General features: G+C 42.2%; 1 long non-coding RNA gene across 1 annotated transcript in view, besides 1 other annotated feature; it reads left to right on the top strand.

The window, feature by feature from the left end:
- Positions 1-21,150, top strand: part of LINC01951 (long intergenic non-protein coding RNA 1951) — a 76,650-nt gene that overhangs the window by 34,144 nt on the left and 21,356 nt on the right. The gene's annotated exons all lie outside the window — the stretch shown is intronic.
- Positions 10,148-10,442: a silencer, noted in NCBI's record as "tiled region #11389; K562 Repressive DNase unmatched - State 12:CtcfO". NCBI's record gives its function as "represses a minimal TATA promoter and a strong SV40 promoter by Sharpr-MPRA in K562 cells {active_cell/tissue: K562}" and the evidence as "EXISTENCE:reporter gene assay evidence [ECO:0000049][PMID:27701403]".

Genomic DNA, 21,150 nt, shown 5'->3' with positions numbered 1-21,150 from the left:
CATTTGAAAACATATATTTAAATTTGAAATTTACAAGATTTGACCTGGCAATTATATGTCAAAGTAAAGTCAAAGTTATAGAAATACTCAAATGTGAGCCTGAAGTTGATAAGTTAAAATAAGCCAAGCACAGAAGGACAAATACCGCATGATCGCACTCATATGTGGAATCTAAAAAAGTTGATCTCTTAAAAGTAGAAAGTAGAAGAGTAGTTACCAGAGGCTGGGAAGGATAAGGGAAAAAGAAGAATGGATGGAGATTGGTCAACAGACACAAAGTTACAGTTAGATAGGAGGTATAAGTTCTGCTCTTCTATTGCAGAGTGGGGTGACTAGAGTTAACAGTAATGTGTGTATATTTCAAAATAGCTAGAAGAGGGGATTTTGAATGTTCTTACCACAAAGAAATGACAAGTGTTTGAGGTGATGGATATGCTAATTACCCAAATTTGATTGGTATACAATCTATACATATGTAAAAACATCACACTGTACCCTGTAAATATGTGCCGATAAATTATTATGTGCCAATAGAAACAAAATAAAACTTTAAAAAAAACATAACAGCATAGTGCTGGCATAAAAACATGTAATCAGTGGAACAGAACAAAGAGCCTAGAGATAAATCCACACATTTATGGTTAATTTTCAACAAAGGTGCCAAGAACACAATAGACCACATCTTCAATAAATGGTGTTGGGAAAACGGTATGTCCACATTTCAAATAATGAAATTAGGCCCTCCTCTCACACCATATACAAAAATCAACTCAAAATGGAATAAAGACTTAAATATAAGATCTGAAACTGTAAAACTACTAAAAGAAAATATAGGGGAACAGCTCTATGATATTGGCCCGGGCAATAATTTTTTGAATATGAACCTAAAACCATAGGCAACAAAAGCAAAAGTTTACACATGGGACTACATCAAACTAAAAAACTTCTGCCCAGAAAAGGAAACAATTGACAAAGCGAAGAGATGCCTATAGAATGGGAGAAAATATTTGTGAACCATACATCTGATAAGGGGTTAATTTTCAAAATAAATAAGGAGCTCAAACAACTCAATAGGAAGAAAACAAACAACAAAATTTAAAAATGGGCAAATGGCCTGAATAGGCTGGGTGCGGCGGCTCACGCCTGTAATCCCAGCACTTTGGGAGAACAAGGCAGGTGGTTCACGAGGTCAGGAGTTCGAGACCAGCCTGGCCAACATGATGAAATCCCGTCTGCACTAAAGATACAAAAGATTAGCAGGGCATGGTGGTGCAAGCCTGTAATCCCAGCTACTCAGGAGGCTGAGGCATGAGAATCGCTTGAACCCAGGAGGCGGAGGTTGCAGTGAGCCAAGATCACACCATTGCACTCCAGCCTGGGTGACTGGGCGAGACTCCATCTCAAAAAAAAAAAAAAAAAATAGACATTACTCAGAAGAAGATTTACAAATTTCCAACTGGCATATGAAAAAAAAAGCCAATTCTCTAATCATCAGGGAAATGCAAATTAAAACCACAATCATATATCACTTCATATCTGTTACAATGATTATCATAAAAGAGATGAAAGGTAACATCCTGGTGAGGATGTAGGAGAAAGGAAACCCTTGTACGCTATTGGTGGGAATGTAAATTAGTACCCCCATTATGGAAAATAGTGTGGAGGTTCTTCAAAAAATTAAAAATAGAACTACCATATGATCTAGGACCCCTCCCCGCCACCGACTAGTTATATATCTAAAGGACATGGAATTCGTATCTTGAAGAGATGTCTGTACTCTCATGTTCATTGTAGCACTGTTCACAATAGCCAAGATATGGAATCAACCTGTGTCCATCAACAGATAAATGGATGAAGAAATTGTGGTACATACACACAATGGAATATTATTCAGCCTTTAAAAAGAAATAAATCCTGTCATTTGCAGCCACAAGGATGAACCTGGAGGACGTTACATTAAGTGAAATAAGCCAGACACAGAAAGACAAATACTACACGATCTCACTTATTTGTGGAATTTAAAACAGTTGAACTCATAGAAGCGGAGGATAGAATGGTGTTTACCAGGGGCTAGTGGTGGAGGCATGGTGGAGATTGGAGAGATGTTAGTCAAAGAATACAAAATGTCAGTTAGGCAGGAGGAATACATTCAAGAGATCTATTGAATATAGATGCATATACATAGTTTACTATAGTAGCTATATTGAACTACAACATAATACAATGCAATGTATTGTATTCTTGAAAACTGCTGAGTAGATTTTATTTTTTATTAGAAGATTTTAATGTGTTTAGTATCACAAAATTTATTAAAATGTTTCTACAGAATTAACACAAAGAAGTCATTAGTAAATTTCGTACTGGGAAAAATAAATCTGCTTATGGCTACCACAGTGGCAGAAGAAGGTCTGGATATTAAAGAATGTAATATTGTTATGCATTATGGTCTCGTCACCAGTGAAATAGCCATGGTCCAGGTACATTCAAATACCTCTACTTACTATGTTAATTTTTATTTGTGTGTTCCTATTTTAATTGCTTTCTTTTAGTTAAACAGCACGAAACATCCCTTTAGTTTTAAAAACAAAGCCATTTTCCTGTTAAAAGAGCATTTTTTAAATTTTATTTTTTTCTTCTTTTTTTAAATTATACTTTAAGTTCAGGGATACATGTGCAGAACGTGCAGGTTTGTTACATAGGTATACGTGTGCCATGGTGGTTTGCTGCACCTGTCAATCTGTCAACTGCATTAGGTATTTCTCCCAGTGCTACCCCCACCAGCCCCCGCCCCACTACAGGCCCCAGTATGTGATGTTCCCCTCTCTGTGTCCATGCGTTCTCATTGTTCAGCTCCCACTTATGAGGGAGAACATGTGTTTGGTTTTCTGTTCCTGTGTTAGTTTGCTGAGAATGATGGTTTCCAGCTTCATCCATGTCCCCATAGAGAACATGAACTCATTCTTTTTTATGGCTACACAGTATTCCATGGTGTATATGTACCACATTTTCTTTTTCCAGTCTATCATTGATGGACATGATCTCATTCTTTTTTATGGCTGCATAGTATTCCATGGTGTATATGTACCACATTTTCTTTTTCCAGTCTATCACTGATGGACATTTGGGTTGGTTCCAAGTCTTTGCCACTGTGAACAGCACTGCAACAAACATACGTGTGCATGTGTTTTTATAGTAGAATGATTTACAATCCTTTGGGTATATACCCAGTAATGGGATTGCTGGGTCACATGGAGATTTTAAGTGTCCTCACTGCAAAAAATAAAATGTAAGTATGTGAGGTAATGTACATGTTAATTAGCTTTATTTAGCTATTCCATTATGTATACATATTTCAAAACATAAATACTGTACATGATAAATACAAACAATTTTTATTTGTCAATCTTAAAAAATTAAATACTTGGGTTTTGGACAAAAAAATACTTAAATGTGAATACAACATTGGGTTACATTGTGATATTATTTGTAATTAAGAAAAATGAAAACAACCTACACTTCTCTTTTTTTTAAATTTTTTTTGTAAAGTAAGAGCAAGTTTATTAAGAAAGTAAATGAATTGGCCAGGCGCTGTGGCTCACGTCTGTAATCCCAGCACTTTGGGAGGCCGAGGCAAGCGGATCATGAGGTCAGGAGTTCGAGACCAGCCTGACCAACATGGTGAAACCCCATCTCTACTAAAAATACAAAAATTAGCCAGGCGTGGTGGCGCCTGCCTGTAATCCCAGCTACTCGGGAGGCGGAGGCAGGAGAATCACTTGAACCCAGGAGGTGGAGGTTGCAGTGAGCCGAGATTGCGCCATTGCACTCCAGCCTGGGTGACAGAGCAAGACTTCATCAAAAAAAAAAAAAAAAGTCAATGAATTATAAAATGCCTACTCCATAGGCAGAGTAGCCACAACCTACATTTCTATCTACAAGGAACCGGAAAAATCAATTAAGATGTATATGTCAATTCCGTTAAATATTATGTAGCCATGGGGGGAAGAGGAAGGGGGCAGGTGAGGTGGTTGGTATTAACTGACAATTAAAGGTTCCTAAAATCCATTAAACATTTTTAAAAGCAAATCATGGGATAATATGTATAGTATTATCTGATTTGAGCTAAAATAAAAACTGTACTAGCAAACAGTATAGCAAATGGCAAAAAGCAGAGGGCCTTGGGTTTAGACAGCTTGGTGCTGTTGAGCTCCCCAAATATCACTGGACAACCCATTTATAAAGCAAAGTTACATTTATTAGAACCCTATGCAGTAAAGGAGAATCTGTCTTGACAGAGTCTTAGTCATGTCTCAGAGCCCAGAGTCAGAAGCAGCATAGTTACAGGACCCTATAGGGTCTGGGCTCAAATGATCTAAGGCATTTTTCCAAGATAAGATTGACTTGGATTGGGCAGTTTGTAATCCAATCATTCAGGACTGGTGGGCACAGGAAGGCAGGAGTGGTGAAGTGAGGCTTGATGGGTAGACTGTTGTTTGGCAAACACTTTAATGTCTTCAATAAATCGATCCACAGAAATGTCCTGATGAAATAATAAAGTTACTCATTGGTTTACAGTCTCATCCGAGGGGAAAGTTGTTTAGAAGAACAACCAGAGTCATGCTGACATAGGTGGCCCCGATCTTCTCTTCCCTGCAGCAAAGCTCCAACGACACAGATGGACTGGGTTCTCCGTGCAAACCCCAGCTCCACCATTTTCTAGCTGCGTGAATTTGGGCAATTTATTTAAAGTTTCTTTACATGTAAATTATGATCGATGATAGTAGTAGCAACCTTAGAAGGTTGTGGTGAAGATTCAATGATTCCAGTACCGAGGATATAGAAAGCTCTCAGGAGATGTTAACAATTTTGATCACATCTGGATATATATGAATAGGAAAAGGGCTCAAAAAGGGTTTCACAACATTGGCACTATAGCCATTTGGGGTCAGATAATGCTGCATTGTGGGGGCTGTCCTGTGCATTGCAGGATGCTTTGTAGCTTCTCTGGCCTCTACCCACTGGAAGCCCAAAGCACCACCTCACAAAGTTGTGACAATCGAAAGTATCTCTGGGGCTGGCCAGGTGGCTCACACCCATAATCCCAGCACTTTGGGAGGCGGATATGGGAGACCAGGAGTTCAAGACCAGCCTGGGTAACATAGGGAGACCCTGTCTCTACAGAAAAAAGAAAAAAAATTCTCTAGATATTCTCACATATCCTCTCTTATAAGCCACTGGATAAAAAGGCAACCATTGCGTGGGAGCAGAGAGTGATTTTAGAGAGCATCATTGACATGAGCGTAAATAGCTTATCACCCATACTGCATTGCCTTTTATTGCCGGAGTGCTTGTCCTGTCTGCCCAGCTAAATTGTAGGCTACCCACTGGCAGACTCACCTTTGCTTGTTATGCGGGCACCAGTGATGTGTAGAAAATAGGAGCCAGAGAAGTATTTGTTGGGACAGAAGTTCAGTAGGTGCTTCCAGACAGGAAAAAAAGGTTGTGGCAGCCAGACCCATACATGAGTCTTGGTAAAAATAAAGGTTAAACCCATTCACTTCAGAGATGATTTCAATCAGACATTAACATTTGAAGATGCTTCTTAGCCAAAAATGTTCTGCTTTCGGGCCCCAGATGTGCTCCAGAGAGCTCAGAATGACTGCAAATGACTAGAAAAGGCTGTGGGCCAAGGAAACCTGAGTTTCCAACAGAAACCATCTAAAAGAGCTTCCATATGGCAGTTTTGCATTGTTGCTCACCCAATTGTGGCTGTCAGTTTCTATCGGGGCCTGAGAGTGATGTCAAGCAGCCTGTTTCCAAAGGTCCTAACGACCTGGCACCTACTCGCAGGCCTTCCAGCAAAGTAAGCCACATCTAGTTCCTACTATTGCTTTTTGATGGCCTTTAGGTATTTAGAAATGGCACAGTTTTGCTTGAACTGTGGATGGGAAGGGGATCACTGGATCCTTTAAAAATGGCTTGCAGTGGGAGAACTGTTCCAGAGACCAGCATCCACACACTGCAGCCAGAGGGACCTTCCTGAAACATGGTCTGATCTAAAAAGGGTATCAACACATTGTTTAACATGGCATCAAGAAAATAAACCCAGTCCCAGAATTGCTTGCTGTGGAGATAGAGGATTATGTTTGTCCACCGATATCAGCTAACCTAGAATACACTCATAGAGGCAGAAAGGAGAGTGGTTGTTGCCAGGGGGTAGGGAAGGGAGAAATGGGGCATTGTTGCTTAATGGGCACAGTTTCAGTTTTGGAAGATAAGTTCTGGAACTGGGTGGTGGTTATGGTTGTATAACAATGTGAATGTACTTAATGCCACTGAACTGTACACTTAAGAATGATTAAAATGGTAAATTCTATATTATGTATATTTTGACCACAATAAAAAGAAGAAAAAAAAGCAAAGAAATAGATACCTGCTTGTAGAAGATAAGACTGGAAAGCCACTAAAATAGCTTACTTATCAAGACCAGCAGCTCACTCAGCAAGCCTCACTTTATGGCCCTCACTGTGCCCACAAGTGAAAGCTTTTGGGTAATCAACTTTACCTAGCTTTATCCAAGGCTCTGCTTGTGAGACACACCTTTAAAACGCCCAGCTTAGACCCTCAAACTATAAATATCCTCCCTTCCTTTCCCCATTTTGAGATTCTACCAAGATTCTGCCACAATGGTGTTCTTCTTTACTGCAGTAAGTCCAACAAACTTAACTTTGCTGGATCAACAGGATTTTTTTTTCCAGTGATTTTTTGGGGGAGGTTGACAGTTAACAGATAGTGGATTTTTCTGCTTAAAATTATTCTGAGGGAGCTCATCCCTCCGAATGCTGATCACCAATATCTGAGGTTGCCAATGGGCAGCTGATACAGCCTCCAGACGTGTTTTCTTTGGCTTACAAAGTGTATTTTTAAAAAATTGAATTTGCTGCCAAATTTTACATTTGAGTTTTAAGGATGAATTTCTTGCTTCTCTGGAAATTTCAGAACCAAATTCCTTTTGCATCTTTGGCTCAGATGTTTGGGTCAGGTCATTCAATACCTTCTCCTGAGCAAAGCTGAACTGTTGAATCTGTCTGGACTCCTGGTGTGCCCATCATACTGTCAGACGTGGTCATGGGGACACATCCCTCAGAGGCGCTTCTTCTAATAACAAAGGTCTTGCAAGCCAAGCAAGAGGTGGAGGACGTCGCTACTCTGGAGTCAGGTGGAGTCGGCTCAATCTTGCCTCCACCAGTTACCTCTAACATGACCTTAGACAGATCCCTTAGCCTCTATGGGGCTCAATTTCTCATGTATAAAATGGGAATAGCTGTGGCTGATGGAAAGATTTAGTGAGTTACTGTTCATCCTGACATACAGCGAGCGTGCAGCAGGTGGAAGCCATCATGACTATGGTAATTATTTTCACGACTTACATCGAGGCTTTTATGTCTGTGAAATCTTCCTCTTTTTCCATCCATCTTTGAAAGGAAACAGTTTCAGTCCCAGATTCACATCACAAAGTGTGACTCTGAGCTTTGAGGACCCTGTCTGTTACCATGGCAACGTCTCTAACCAAAGGAAAAAGTGGGGAGCAAATACCAGAGCTTGGGAAAAACCTTTATCTTGGGCATCTTTAAACTACTTTTAAAACTGTCAAATTAATTGTTCCAGCATTCTTTACGGAGAGCATTTTTGGATGAGGTCTCTATTAAATGTATACACTGTTAAACACATAGGCACTAAAACATGTTCACTCAATGGGGAATGGTGACGTAGGAGAGAAAATATGGTACTTATGATTCTTTTTTTAAAAAAAATATTGTTATCACAAATTTTTTAACAGAGAGAAAATTACAAAGACAAAAATCAGATAATGTACACCCAGGCACTTACCACCTGGTTTGAGCACATCTTAACACTTACTCGTGTTTGCTTCAGATCTTTTTGCTGTTTATGTTAAAAACAACAACACGTTACAGAAACAGCTGAGCCATCTTGGGCATCCTCCCTGATCTCATGCCTACCCTCCTTCCCCAGAAGAGAACCCCGTCCAGAAATTGGTGCATTGCATTCCCAGGCTTGATTCTGTCCTTTTAAAATATACACATGCGGCCGGGTGCGGTGGCTCATGCCTGTAATTCCAGCATTTTGGGAGGCCGAGGCAGGCAGATCACGTGAGGTAAGGAGTTCGAGACCAGCCTGGTGGCCAACATGGTGAAACCCCATTCTCTACTAAAAATACAAAAATTAGCTGGGTGTGATGGTGCATGCCTATAATCCCAGCTGCTTGGGAGGCTGAGGCACGAGAATGACTTGGACCTGGGAGGCGGAGGTTGAAGTGAGCTGAGATCCTCGTGCCACTGCACTCCAGCCTGGGTGACAGAGCGAGACCCTATCTCAAAACAAACAAGCAAACAAACAAACGCATGCAGCTATAAACAACATGCTGTATTCTCTTGTGTGTGTTTAAACTTCAAATAAATGGCATGCTGTATACTTCCTTGCACTGTTTGCTTTTTACCTTTAATGTTGCTCTAGTTGGATTATTTTAAGTGCTATACAGTAGCCCAGTACTTCAGATTCTTAGTATCCACTACTTTTGACTCACGGCAGAACTGTATCAACCTTCGGGAAAAAATGAGCACATTTTCTCTTTCTAGGGCTCCTCACCTTCTACAATACGAAATCCACATTAAGCCTGGTCCTCCAAGATCCAGTCTGTTTCTCTCTCCACCAACCAGCTGCTGACTGTTTCTCAGGCATGTCATTAACTGAGAATCTTGTCTCCCCAGATAACAAGTATTCATCCCTTAAGACCCACCTGAAAAATCACTTTCTTGGGGAACCACTTCCTTTAGACTAAGTAAGGTCACATTTCCGTGGCTTCTCATAGCACTTTCCACAAGCCCTGGTTATAATTCTTAACTCAGAGCACTGGTATCTGTCTGCCCCCTCACCCATGCACACTCCTCAGAGTTTCTTAAGTGTGGCTTCTTAAACACATCATTGACCTTGGACACACATTATGGCAGGTGCTCAAAAAATGACTGTTGAATTTTAGAAAATCATTGTGCATAGCATTTGGGGGGAAAGAGTGGGTTCTCCAAGTGTAGAGGGGAAAAGAGTATTGAGCCTCCTTTTTCTTAAGCTCGCTGCTGATGGTTGCCCCTGTCTCCTCACCTTCCCATCATCCAAAGGCTGAAGTTGATTCCAGGGCCTGAGGTTTTTCCCTGCTGTGCTTCCAAAAACTCCAAGGGTCCTCCTACCCTTGTGAGCAAGATCCTGTCAGTGATCAACAGCCCCATCTCAGTGTGAGGTTTGGAGATGTGTCCTACCCATCCCTCTGGGGAGTAGGAAGAACTTGTAAAGGATGAGGTCCTTAGAGCACAGTGTGGAATTTATGCAGGGGATGAGGCTGGGGCAGGGGCACGTTCAGATGATGGAGACCCCCAGGTTTTCCACTGAACATAAAATCAAACTCAAATTCCATTCTGTGCCCTGTAAGACCTCACATGACCCAGTCCCTGCCTGGGTTTCTAGCCTCCTCTCCCACTGCTCTCTCCCAACCTGCCAGGCCTACTTTGAGCTCACCAGGCCCCTTTCGTCTTTGGGGCCTTTGTATATTCTCAGTTTAGACACCCACCCCCCCAACCCCCCAACCCACCTCACCTAGTTATACATTCACCAGAAACATCAGGTCCCTGAATGTGGCACACTCTCAAAGGCCTTGATGCCGTCTCTTCACAACCTGTCTCCTAGGTTTCAATTGTCCGTTTAGGTGTCTGATTACAGTTTAATGTCCTTCTCCCCCCATTAGGATGTAAGCTCTTCCATGAGAGAGAAGTTTGGGTCTGTCAGTTCACTGCTGTATCCCTAATGCCTAGCATAGTGCTCAGTACCTAGTGGATGTTCACAAATATTTGGTGGATGAGTGGATGGAAAAAATGGATGGATGGATGGATGGATGGATGGATGGATGGATGGGTGGATGGATGGATGGGTGGGTGCGTGGACAGGTGGAAGGGTGGACAGTGAAAATGCCAGACTTTTACTGAAGGATGAAGCACTAGTTGTAATATGGGGAAATGGTTTTAAAGAGAAAAGTCTCTCTTGCCTTCAAACTTTAAACTCATCAGAAAGCGAGCTTGACTGCAGTCTCTCTGGGTCTAACCAGGGAGATTCTTGTGCCTCTGTTGGTCTGCAGTTGGGTCTTTGGCTTTACAACTCCGCCACCTAGTGGCTAACGTGTGTGCTCTGCAAGGGAAGAGATGAGCCACCTAGCAAGAGTGGTGTCGGGGGATCAAGGGCTTTGAAAGAGTCCTTCTTGCTGCTCCAATCTCCACCACCCAGTCTGCACCAAGGGCCTTTAATCCTCATAGTTATCACATCTTGCTGGAATGCACTTATTAACATGGGAACATGTTCCTTTAAAAAAAGTAAGTGGAGTTTAGGAAATTGTCATCCTCTAAATTACTCATGATTAACCTACGACAATAATTTGAGTGTTGACTTAAGGATTTTTGTATATGGCATCCATTAGTACCCCAAGGGGTACTAAGTGTAAGAGCTGAGCGTGTCACCTTCGAGCCAAAATCGTTTATTATTGGCATGTTCATCTTTTTTTTTTTTTTTTTTTGAGACGGAGTCTTGCTCTATCGCCCAGGCTGGAGTGCAGTGGTTCCATCTCTGCTCACAGCAAGCTCCGCCTCCAGGGTTCGCGCCATTCTCCTGCCTCAGCCTCCAGAGTAGCTGGGACTACAGGCGCCCGCCACCACGCCCGGCTAATTTTTGTATTTTTAGTAGAAACGGGATTTCACAGTGTTAGCCAGGATGGTCTGGATGTCCTGACCTCTTGATCCGCCCGCCTCGGCCTCCCAAAGTGCTGGGATTACAGGCGTGAGCCACCGCGCCCGGCCCATCATTTTTTAAATATGCAAATAGGTTACCCCTGGTTTGTTTGCTAGATAACAAGCTGCATTGCCATGGCCATCTCCTTCCATCTGTCTCACAGCATCTCCTCTCTGCCATCTGGGTAATGAGAAGATAGAGGAATGAGGCAGGCAGACAGAATCGAGGAGTTGGAGAACGATGCAGGATTTAGAATCAAGGAGGCCCAGGTGTGGATTCCAGCACATCACTTCTCTCTCTCTCTCTTTTTTTTTTTATTTTTTTTGAGATGGAGTCTCGCTCTGTCGCCCAGGCTGGAGTGCAGTGGTGTAATCTCAACTCACGGCAACCTCCGCCTCCCGGGTTCAAGAGATTCTCCTGCCTCAGCCTCCCGAGTAGCTGGGATTACAGGCGCCCACCACCACGCCTGGCTAATTTTTGTATTTTTAGTAGAGATGGGGTTTCACCATGTTGGCTAGGATGGTCTTAATCTCTTGACCTCGTGACCCACCTGCCTCGGCCTCCCAAAGTGGTGGGATTACAGGCGTCAGCCACCGCGCCCGGCCACACCATCACTTCTTGTTACCTTAGGCAGATCACTTAACTTTGCTGAGATTAATTTTTTCATCTATAAAATGAGGACCAATAGCATCAGATTTAATGCTGTTGTCATCCCAGTTTTACAGATGAGGAAATGACTCAAAGTAGGGAAGTCATTTCCACATCTGTGGTTGGATAGGAAGAAGGTACCAGAACCAGTGCTCACACTCTGGCCTCACCACTGCCCAAGGTTGAGACCTTTGTGCTCTGTGATGCTGAACAATGAGGGCATCACATGAATAAATGGCTCGTGCCTCACTTTAGAGACAACAAACTCTTCTCACCTGTCTTAATGTTAGCCCCAGCCCCAATCACTGACTCCTGCATCCTCCTGGCCTCCCAGGTGAACCTGGCAGCTCGAGGTTGTTTTAATTTTATCCTATAATTGGCATCAGTTCAATGAGAGGTGAAAGAATCTCTCCCTTTTCCAATTAGGCAAAAAAAAAAAAATCTGCTAAGTACTTTGAGATCTCCAGATGGAAGAACCTCTTGGAATACCACATACATTTCATTAAGAATCCATGCATGAATGCTGGATTCTTTGCCTTATTATAATTTGTTGGCCACACAAAACTAAAGTGAGCAGCTCTATTCTGTGATTTCTCATTCATAAGACCCAGATATTTCGGATCCTATTTATCTTACCTCCATGTCTTCATTCCATTTTCTGCTATTTCTGGCATTCGCCCTGTCTCTTTATTTGAAGTCGCTCATAGTACATTTTAAATCATTTTAATCAGCAATGAAATGTGGGGGTGTACTGTTTTCCAGCCCAGTTGCCCTTTTTGGTAAACATATTAGAATGAAAGTAGAAATAGTGTTCAAATTGATATTATCTGCTCTCCACACACAAGTTATAAACATGCTGTTTCTGGTATACCTTCCAGATAACGTGCTTTCTGCCTGCAGTGGTTCCTGGGCATGCTCACTGACCTGCGCATTCATCTATGCTTTCATCCATTCATCAAATACTTATGAGGGCCTCCTATGCACTTAGCTATGGAACAGATCCTGGGGACCTCGTGGTGAGTAAGACCCAGAGGCAGCACAGAGTAGCATGGCTTTAGAATCAGACAAATGCAGGGTTTTCACCTCGGCTTTAACACTTTCCAGCTGTGTGACCTCAGCAAGTTGCTTAAGGTGTCTGAGGCTCGATTTCCTCATCTGTAGAGTTGAGATTGGTTGCTTACGTTTACGGGTAATCTGCGCCTGATGAATAACTTGACCTGTGTAACTTCAGCACAGCCTCTGTCTTCAAGGAGCTCAGATATAGTGAGGATCACAGGCATGCACTGCATCGAATGCTTTTATGGGGTGAGCATGTACAGAGTACTGTGAGGATGTGAAGTACAAGGCAACTAACTCCACTTGAGGGGCTAGGGAAGGGCTCAAGAGGAGAAGGCGTCATGAGAAAGATAAGCTCACCAGGAAGGGAAGAGAAAATGGCATTGAAAGTAGATGGGACAGCATTCTAAGCAAAGGGACAGAATCATGAAAGCACATGGTATTTCAGAAATAAAATGTGTATTATTATTGCAATGTAGATTTGTGGGAGAAATGGTAGGGAATGAGACTGGGTGAAAGATTAGAATCAAGTAATTAGCCGGGCATGGTGGCACATGCCTGTAATCCCAGCTACTCAGGAGGCTGAGGCACGAGAATTGCTTGAACCCCGGAGGCGGAGGTTGCAGTGAGCTGAGATCGTGCCGGTGTACTCCAGCCTGGGCAACAGAGAGAGACTCTGTCTCAAAAAAAAAAAAAAAATCAAGTAAAAGGGCTTTCAAATCATACAAAGCATGCTGCATTATAGATCAAGGGGTAAAAAGTATCTGGGGCTCTCTCCTCTTGACCCTTACCCCACTCCCAAAACTCTAATGGGAATCCTAATATGAATTATTTTCCCATCAAAGGAGAAAGTCTGGGCATCATTAAGTAGCAAGTTTCTTCTAATTCCAATCAAGAGGTATTAGGTTTCCTATTTGTATCTTGCATATGTCTTCTCCTTTCTCCATATAAGTGTCCTTAATAGACTTTTTGTATTATGTTGTAATTATGTAATATTTCATATGCAGCAATGTCAGACAATAATATCATAAGCTCATACCTACCACCCAGCTTAATCAGATCTTAACATTTTGTCATATTTGCTTCATACTTTTTTAAAGTAAAACATTATAGATTCAGTTATGACCCCCAGTGAACCACATCTAATCCTATACCCTTTCCTGCTTTCCAGGGTCAGTCACTGCTCGTAGTCACTAGTGAGTCACCACTCACTACTGGAGTCTCCCACTCCAGAACTGGGATTTTATCCATTTTGAGATGTGTGTCCCAAGATGCACATCTACTAACTTGTGCAATTAGTATTGCACAATTTACACTATTGTTTTGCATATTTCACACTATAAAATTAAATAAATTCAAGAAGTATAATTCTTTCATTTTTAACAATTTTTTAAAACAGCAACTTTTCTCTGTGTTCTGCTCTTTTAATAAAATTTTCTATCTTCTTCCATTCCTTCTGATAAGTGAGAGACAAGAAATTATGTTTCTATTTTTTTGTGGTAACTTTTCCATTGTTTAATTACACAATTAACTTGTTTTTTTTTTTTTAACAATGTCAACAGTTAATTGATATTTTTATCTTTCTCCTGGCCATAGCAAAGCCTTCTATATTAGCCAGAGTATAATCAGGAGACAGGAGGTATGTAATAATTTGAAAAGAAGACATTTACTATAAAGAAGAATTAACTACTCCTGGGAATTGGAATAAGGAGAGACTGGCTAACAGAAGGTAGAAATCTATAAGGAACGTTTGTGGTGTTCCTTCGGTTTTTTATTAAATTTTATTTTAGGTTCGGGGCACATGTGCAGGTTTGTTATTTGGGTAAACTTGTGTCACAGAGGTTTGTTGTACAGATTATTTTGTCACGTGGGTACTAAGCCCAGTACCCAGTGGTTATTTTTTCTGCTCCTCTCCCTCCTCCCACCCTTCACCCTCAAGGAGGCCCCAATGTCTGTTGTTCCCTTCTTCGTGTCCATGTGTTCTCATTATTTCGCTCCCACTTATAAGTGAGAACATACAGTATTTGGTTTTCTGTTCCTGCATTAGTTTGCTAAGGATAGTGGCCTCCAGCTCCAACCATGTTCCCACAAAACGCATAATCTTGTTCTTTTTAATGGCTGCATAGTATTCCATGGTATGTATGTTCCACATTTTCTTTATTCATTCTATCACTGATGGGCATTTAGGTTGATCCCATGTCTTTGCTATTTGAATAATGCTGCAATGAACATTCGTGTGCATGTATCTTTATGGTAGAATGACTTATGGTCCTCTGGGTATATACCCAGTAATGGGATTGCTGAGTTGAATGGTAGTTCTGCCTTTAGCTGTCTGAGGAATCACCATGCTGCTTTCTGCAATGGTTGAACTAATTTACACTCCTGCCAACAGTGTATGTGTTCTTTTTTCTCCACTACCTCACTAGCATCTGTTTTTTTTTTTTTTTTTTGATAATAATAGCAATTCTGACTGGTGTGAGATGGTATCTTACTGTGGTTTTGATTTGCATTTCTCTAATCATCGGTGATGTAGAGCTTTTTTTCATGTGCTTGTTGGCCGCGCATATGTCTGCTTTTGAAAAGTGTCTGCTTATGTCCTTTGCCCACTTTTTAATGGGGTTGTTTGGGTTTTTATCTTCTAAATTTGTTTAAGTTCCTTATAAATGCTGGATGTTAGACCTTGTAAAGAATATTTGAATCACAGATATAAAGAGCAGCCACCAGCCCTGGGGTACAGGTGGAGCACCCAGAAAAGTAACACACCTGGAAGTGACCCGCCACCCACAGACAGGACCAGGCTTCACTGGAGAGGTGACAGAAAAGGGAGGATCTGCATCTGCAGGGCCTATTGACGATGAATCCCCCGGTGGGATGGTGCACAGAGAACACCCCATACGGGATGCCAGGGAAGCCGCCCACAGGGCTGCCTCTAGAAGCACTTGCTGGAAAAGAGCCCTTTGTTTTTTCAGTGCCCTTCCAGTGTCATCTGCCAATGAAGCTTAATGTCGTGCCAGCTGGCAGAGGAGGATAATTCCAGTATCATAAACAAGACAGGGACAGGTGGATTTGGGAGCTCGGAGGTAATAGATTGATAACTGGCAAAACACTGTGGCAGAGTTTACCAGATACACACATACATACATACACACACATACAAACATGCACACATGACTTCCATATACTCGCATGCACACACACACACACACACACACACACACACAAGCTCACATATACTCACATGCACACACACTTTATTTGGAAGTTTAGTTTTGATTTGGAAATTTAGTTTTACCTTTTTAACATTAAAATGTTAACATTTTAATGTTAAAATGATTTCTGATGTCAATGCTTGATTTGATTTGCCAATATCTTTTGTCAGTGTTAACATTTGTCAACATTGTTCCTTCCATGCCTTCTCTCTGTGTTCACTTCTCTTCCTGCTGAAGTGCACCCTTTAATAATTCATTTAATGCAGGTCTGTAAGGGGCTTATTTTCTATATGTTAGTAATTGTCTTGCTTTGCCCTCCTTTCTGAATTTTAATTAAGTTTAATTTAGAAACAAAGGTTGGATTATTATTCCTCAAAAGTTTACAAATATCGCTTTTACCTTTTTCAAATACATTCTTGCCAATAAGAAGTCAGCCATCAGAAAAATTGCTATTCTTCTATGAGTAGTCTATCTTTTTTCTCCAGCAGCTCTGTAGTTACTTTTTAGCCTTGATATTTTCGAGTTGCATTACAACATGGTTGGATTTGGTTTTGGTTCTTTTTTTCAGGATCCTAAGTGCTCTTTTTCTCTTCTTTTTGTAGAGATGGAGTTTTGCTGTGTTGCCCAGGCTGGTCTTGAACTCCTGAGCTCAAGTAATTCACCTGCCTTGGCCTCCCAAAGTGCTAGGATTATAGGTGGCCAGGGGCCACTGCACCCAGGCCCTGAGTGCTCTTTTGATCTATGGACTCATATCTTCTTTTCTGGAAAGTTCCTGCTCTGGACTCAATTGTGTCTACAAAATTGTATCCCTCAAAATTCATATGCTGAAGTCCTAACCCCCATTGAAGCTATATTTGGAGATAGGACTTTTAGGAGCTAATTGAGGTCAAATGAAGTCATAAGGGCCGGGTCCTAATTTGATGGGTTTGGTGGAGTAATAAGAAGAAGAAGAGAGAGATCTCTGTCTCTCCACTTGCACATCCCGAGGAAAGATTTTTTGAGCACACAGCAAGAAGGTGGCAGAGTCTGCAAGCCAGGAAGAGAGGTCTCACCAGGAATTGAGTTGGCTGGCACCTTGGTCTTGGACTTCTCAGCCTCCTAAACTGTGAGAAAATAAATATCTGTTATTTAAGCCACTTAGTCTATTACATTTTGCTACGACAGTTTGAGCTCAGAGAGTCCCCACTAATTATTTCTCCCAACATCACTCGTCTTCATTCCCTCCACTCTCTCCACTCTTGGAAGGCCAAGTCAGGGTCCCTCCACCCATCCTCCATGTCTTTTTACTGCTTTTTTCCAAATATTTTTTACACTCTGCTTTCTGTGCTGTGTCTTTGTTGCGGTTTTCAGTACCAATTTCCAATTCGAAACACTCTCCAATCAAATGTTTCCTGCCTTATGTTTTATCCCAATGTTTTCCCCAAAATAATGTCTTCTTTTCATAGTTAGATTATTGTTATTTCTTAATTTATTGTACTTTTAGCTCTCTGAATATTCTATACATCCTTATTTTAAAGTCTTCTGCAGAGTTTTGAGTAATCGCTGTTTCCAGATTAAACTCTGATCCCAGTATCAGTTTCGGCGGTTGTCTTTCTGGGCATTAGATCTCTTCATGGGTTTCAGATTTATGGGTTGCAGCCTCCTTTTAAATGGAACTCTTCCCCCTCTTCTTTCTGTTCTCACCTCTCCTTTCCTTTCTTCTGAGTTCTCCTTTCCTGTGAGTTCATACTTCCTTATCTCTGCTAGTTCTGCATTTGTGGCCACTTGAATCTCCAGGACTTCAAAAGGCAGCTTAGAATTCTTCCCCACAACAATACTGATGGAGACCCAGATCTAGCCACAGAGCCTGGGGGAACTGGCTCAGCCTCTGAACCTGTGACTGGTTCCACTGGTTCGTGTGCTTCTCCCTCTGCCTCAAGCTCCCCATGGATCCCACCCAGAGAATAGCGGCAGGGTCTTCAATTCCCATCATCACAAGAGCATGGGGCGACATCCAGGCCCCCCAGCAACAAGCAAGGAGCCTGGCTTTGTCTCATTCTCTGAACAATTGTAGTCACTCTACCGAGCAGGAATTGAATTCTCAGCCATTTCTTCTTGGGCATGGCCTGCACCCCGTCAGCACCACTTACTATTTGAAATTTATGTTCCATTTCTGGCCCATGGAGATGTTTTTAAAAAATAGGTGAGCCATCTAGGTTATATTGTTTTATTTTAATCTTACCTGTTATTGTTATTTACATAATGCAGCATTTCTTAACTTGAGGTCCTAGACTTTCCTAAACCCCAAACATCAGACCTTCAAGAGGTTTGCATAGGAATAATTGATTGTCTGGAACAAGATGCCGCAGATGGATATTTAATTTGGCACACTTTCTGAAGGGCTAGATGGACCTAGAGTCTAGAAAATCGTCATATCCCTTTAACTCTACCCACTTCTGTAAATAGAGTCTAAGCAGATCATCTCAGCTAGGGAAAAAGTCTGATTCAAGGATGTGCCTCAAAGCATTATTTTTAAATGTGGGGTGCGGGGGGGACAACCAAAAGTAGGAGTAAACTCAGAGTGATAGAATAGAATACTGTACAGCCATTTAAAATATTCTTTTTTTTCTTTTTATTTATTTATTTATTTATTTATTTATTTATTTATTTATTTATTTATTATACTTTAAGTTTTAGGGTACATGTGCACAATGTGCAGGTTAGTTACATATGTATACATGTGCCATGCTGGTGTGCTGCACCCACTAACTCATCATCTAGCATTAGGTATATCTCCCAATGCTAACCCTTTAATATTCTTTAAAATAACTTTGTAATAACAGGAATGAGTGTTCATGACATGATGTTAAAGTAAAAAAACTAGAGGCCGGGCGCGGTGGCTCATGCCCGTGATCCCAGCACTTTGGGAGGCTGAGGCAGGCGGATCACAAGATCAGGAGTTCGGGACCAGCCTGGCCAACATGGCAAAACCCCATCTCTACTAAAAATACAAAAAAATTAGCCAGGTGTGGTGGCGGGTGCCTGTGATCCCGGCTACTTGGGAGGCTGAGGCAGGAGAATCGCTTGAACCCAGGAGGGGGGGTTGCAGTGGGCCAAGATTGTGCCACTACACTCCAGTCTGGGGGACAAGAATGAGACTTTGTCTCAAAAAAAAAAGCCAGGAACCACAACTGTGTGCTATGTGTAATATGTAACCAAATACGTATAATAGTGTAAACAGTACACACGTGTATGGAATACTAAGCCTAAATGTTTTTTTCTGTATCTTTGGGGTTGAGGGTAATTTCTGTTTTCTTCTTTATTCTTTTTAGTGTTTTGCATGATTTCTGTACCTGAGCTACTTAGGTTTTGCCATGAGGAAAGCAAAAACAAAGTTTTTTTAAATGATCACAGTTAATACGTGGGAGTCCTGACCATGTACTAGAAGCTGCCTTTGCTGTTTCCATGAACAAGAACTAAAAAGTGGGCTGGCTGAGGGGCTGGATTCCAGACCCTGACGAAGCCCATAGCCTGATTGTTTGGGTCCTGCTGCTCCCAGAAGGATCTCGGGGGTCAGAACTGCTGCTGGCCCTGACTCCCTGGTGTTCTGGTGCCTCTCAGATTCTCTTCTCAGTACTGACCCTCTGACCAAAGCCCTGGCTCCCGCCTGCTTGTTTGACTCTTCTCCTCAGTTTTCCCTTGAACTTGGGAAGAGCACACCAGGTGCCAGACACCAAGCTCAAAGCTGCACAGACCTTTTTTGTCATCCTCAGAACACCCTTATGAAGTATGTATTCAGTTTTACAAGTGGGGAAACTGAAGCCCAGAGAAATTAAAGCAACTGGCCCAAGGCCACAGAAGGGAGAAATGACTGACCTCAGCTCTCTTCAGTCCCCAAGTCCATTTTCCTTCCACCTGGCTCCATGGTTTTCAGTGGTCACAGAACTGAGGTCACTGCATTCTCCAGCCTTTCTTCAGGCAGCCCAGCTGTCTCCGCCCTGGTCAACCCCTGTCCTGTGAGTCCCTCCGCCATCTTCTCATTTGCCATACTCCAGACTCCTCCCATTCCCATCACCTCCCCTTTACTGAGGTCCCCAGGTGTCTTGCATCCCCAGTGAGGGCAGATGATGACTGTGAAGGTGTTTGAGGCATTGTAACTTTCAACAGAATAAAATAGGAATGAGATAGGAAGGTGTGGCAAAGTGACAGTGTTTGTTTTACACAGTTGTTTTAAAGCCCAGGAAAGGGATTCCTAAAGTTGACACAACTTGCTTGATCCACAGAGATCAAATTTCAAGTGATAAAAACGCTGTATGGCTGTGACTTCGAAATTGGGTTCAGAGTTTCAACCTTTTCCCCATCAGCGTGAAAACAAAAGGTACTTTCATCGTGCTGGAGAAGATGTGGGAGAACTTGACATTGGATCAGCACTGTCTGAAAACTCCAGAAGCCTGAGACAGCACACAGAAAGCTCCACGGAAGCACCCCCTGGGAGTTGTGGCAGGGATTCTTGCCCAGCAGGGCTTGCCTGGGGACCACTGAGTGGGAGCGATGGGAGGAACTCAAGCTTCCTGCACTGACCCAGGCAAAATGAAGCCCCCTCTGTTTGTTGGTATTATATCACATAGAAATACTTAATATACACGAGACATGCAAATTTCATTTGAGGGGCTCTGAAGAAAACTCCTGAAGAAGGAGAGTCCCAACGGAGGACAGATTTTCACATGTGGAGGTGTATCCACTGCTGTGTCCAGCTGGCTCATACCAGCTCACAAGAGCAAACTGTATACCACCTCCAGACTCCTCCCATCACTTTCAAGGCATCACTTTCAAGCCCTGTGTTCAGCAACTTCACACGGGTAGCTTGCGGTCAGTCGTGGTGGGGATATTCACACCATGGAAATTGGCAAATGCAATAAAGCAGGACTATTTTTCATCTCAAATGCCCACATCCCCCAAGGTCCTGTCATCTGTCAACTTTGCCTTGTAGACATCTGTAGCTCCCCAAATCCTCGCTAAGCTAATGACTCCCAGATGTACCTATCTCCAACCTAAGCCTCTCTCCTGAGCTCCAGATACAACCTCAGGCTGCCTTTTGGATATCTCTTTTCTAGATAACAGACCCTTCTTCTGATGCCTATCTTGGTGAATGACACTATTTTCTTAATGCCAGATCCCTGGAGTGAACCTGGGCCCCTTTCACTTTATGGATTGTGGTCAGCCATGAGGTCCTGCTGAGTCCACCTCCACAACACCTTTAGCCTCCAGCCCGTTCCCCCATAACTGCCTTGATCCAGTTCCTCCCTGGGTCTCATCTGCTAATTGTGAAAACCTCCTTCTCTCCATCTCCATCCCATTATAAAAATGGTTTAGGGATAAATGGTTACTTTTCTACTCTTAACTTCTCCAGTTG

Source organism: Homo sapiens, chromosome 5, assembly GCF_000001405.40.
Source record: "Homo sapiens chromosome 5, GRCh38.p14 Primary Assembly".
Classification (NCBI taxonomy): Eukaryota; Metazoa; Chordata; class Mammalia; order Primates; family Hominidae; genus Homo; species Homo sapiens.
Note: the sequence above shows the minus strand (reverse complement) of the source record. Positions and strands in the feature narration are given on the sequence as shown.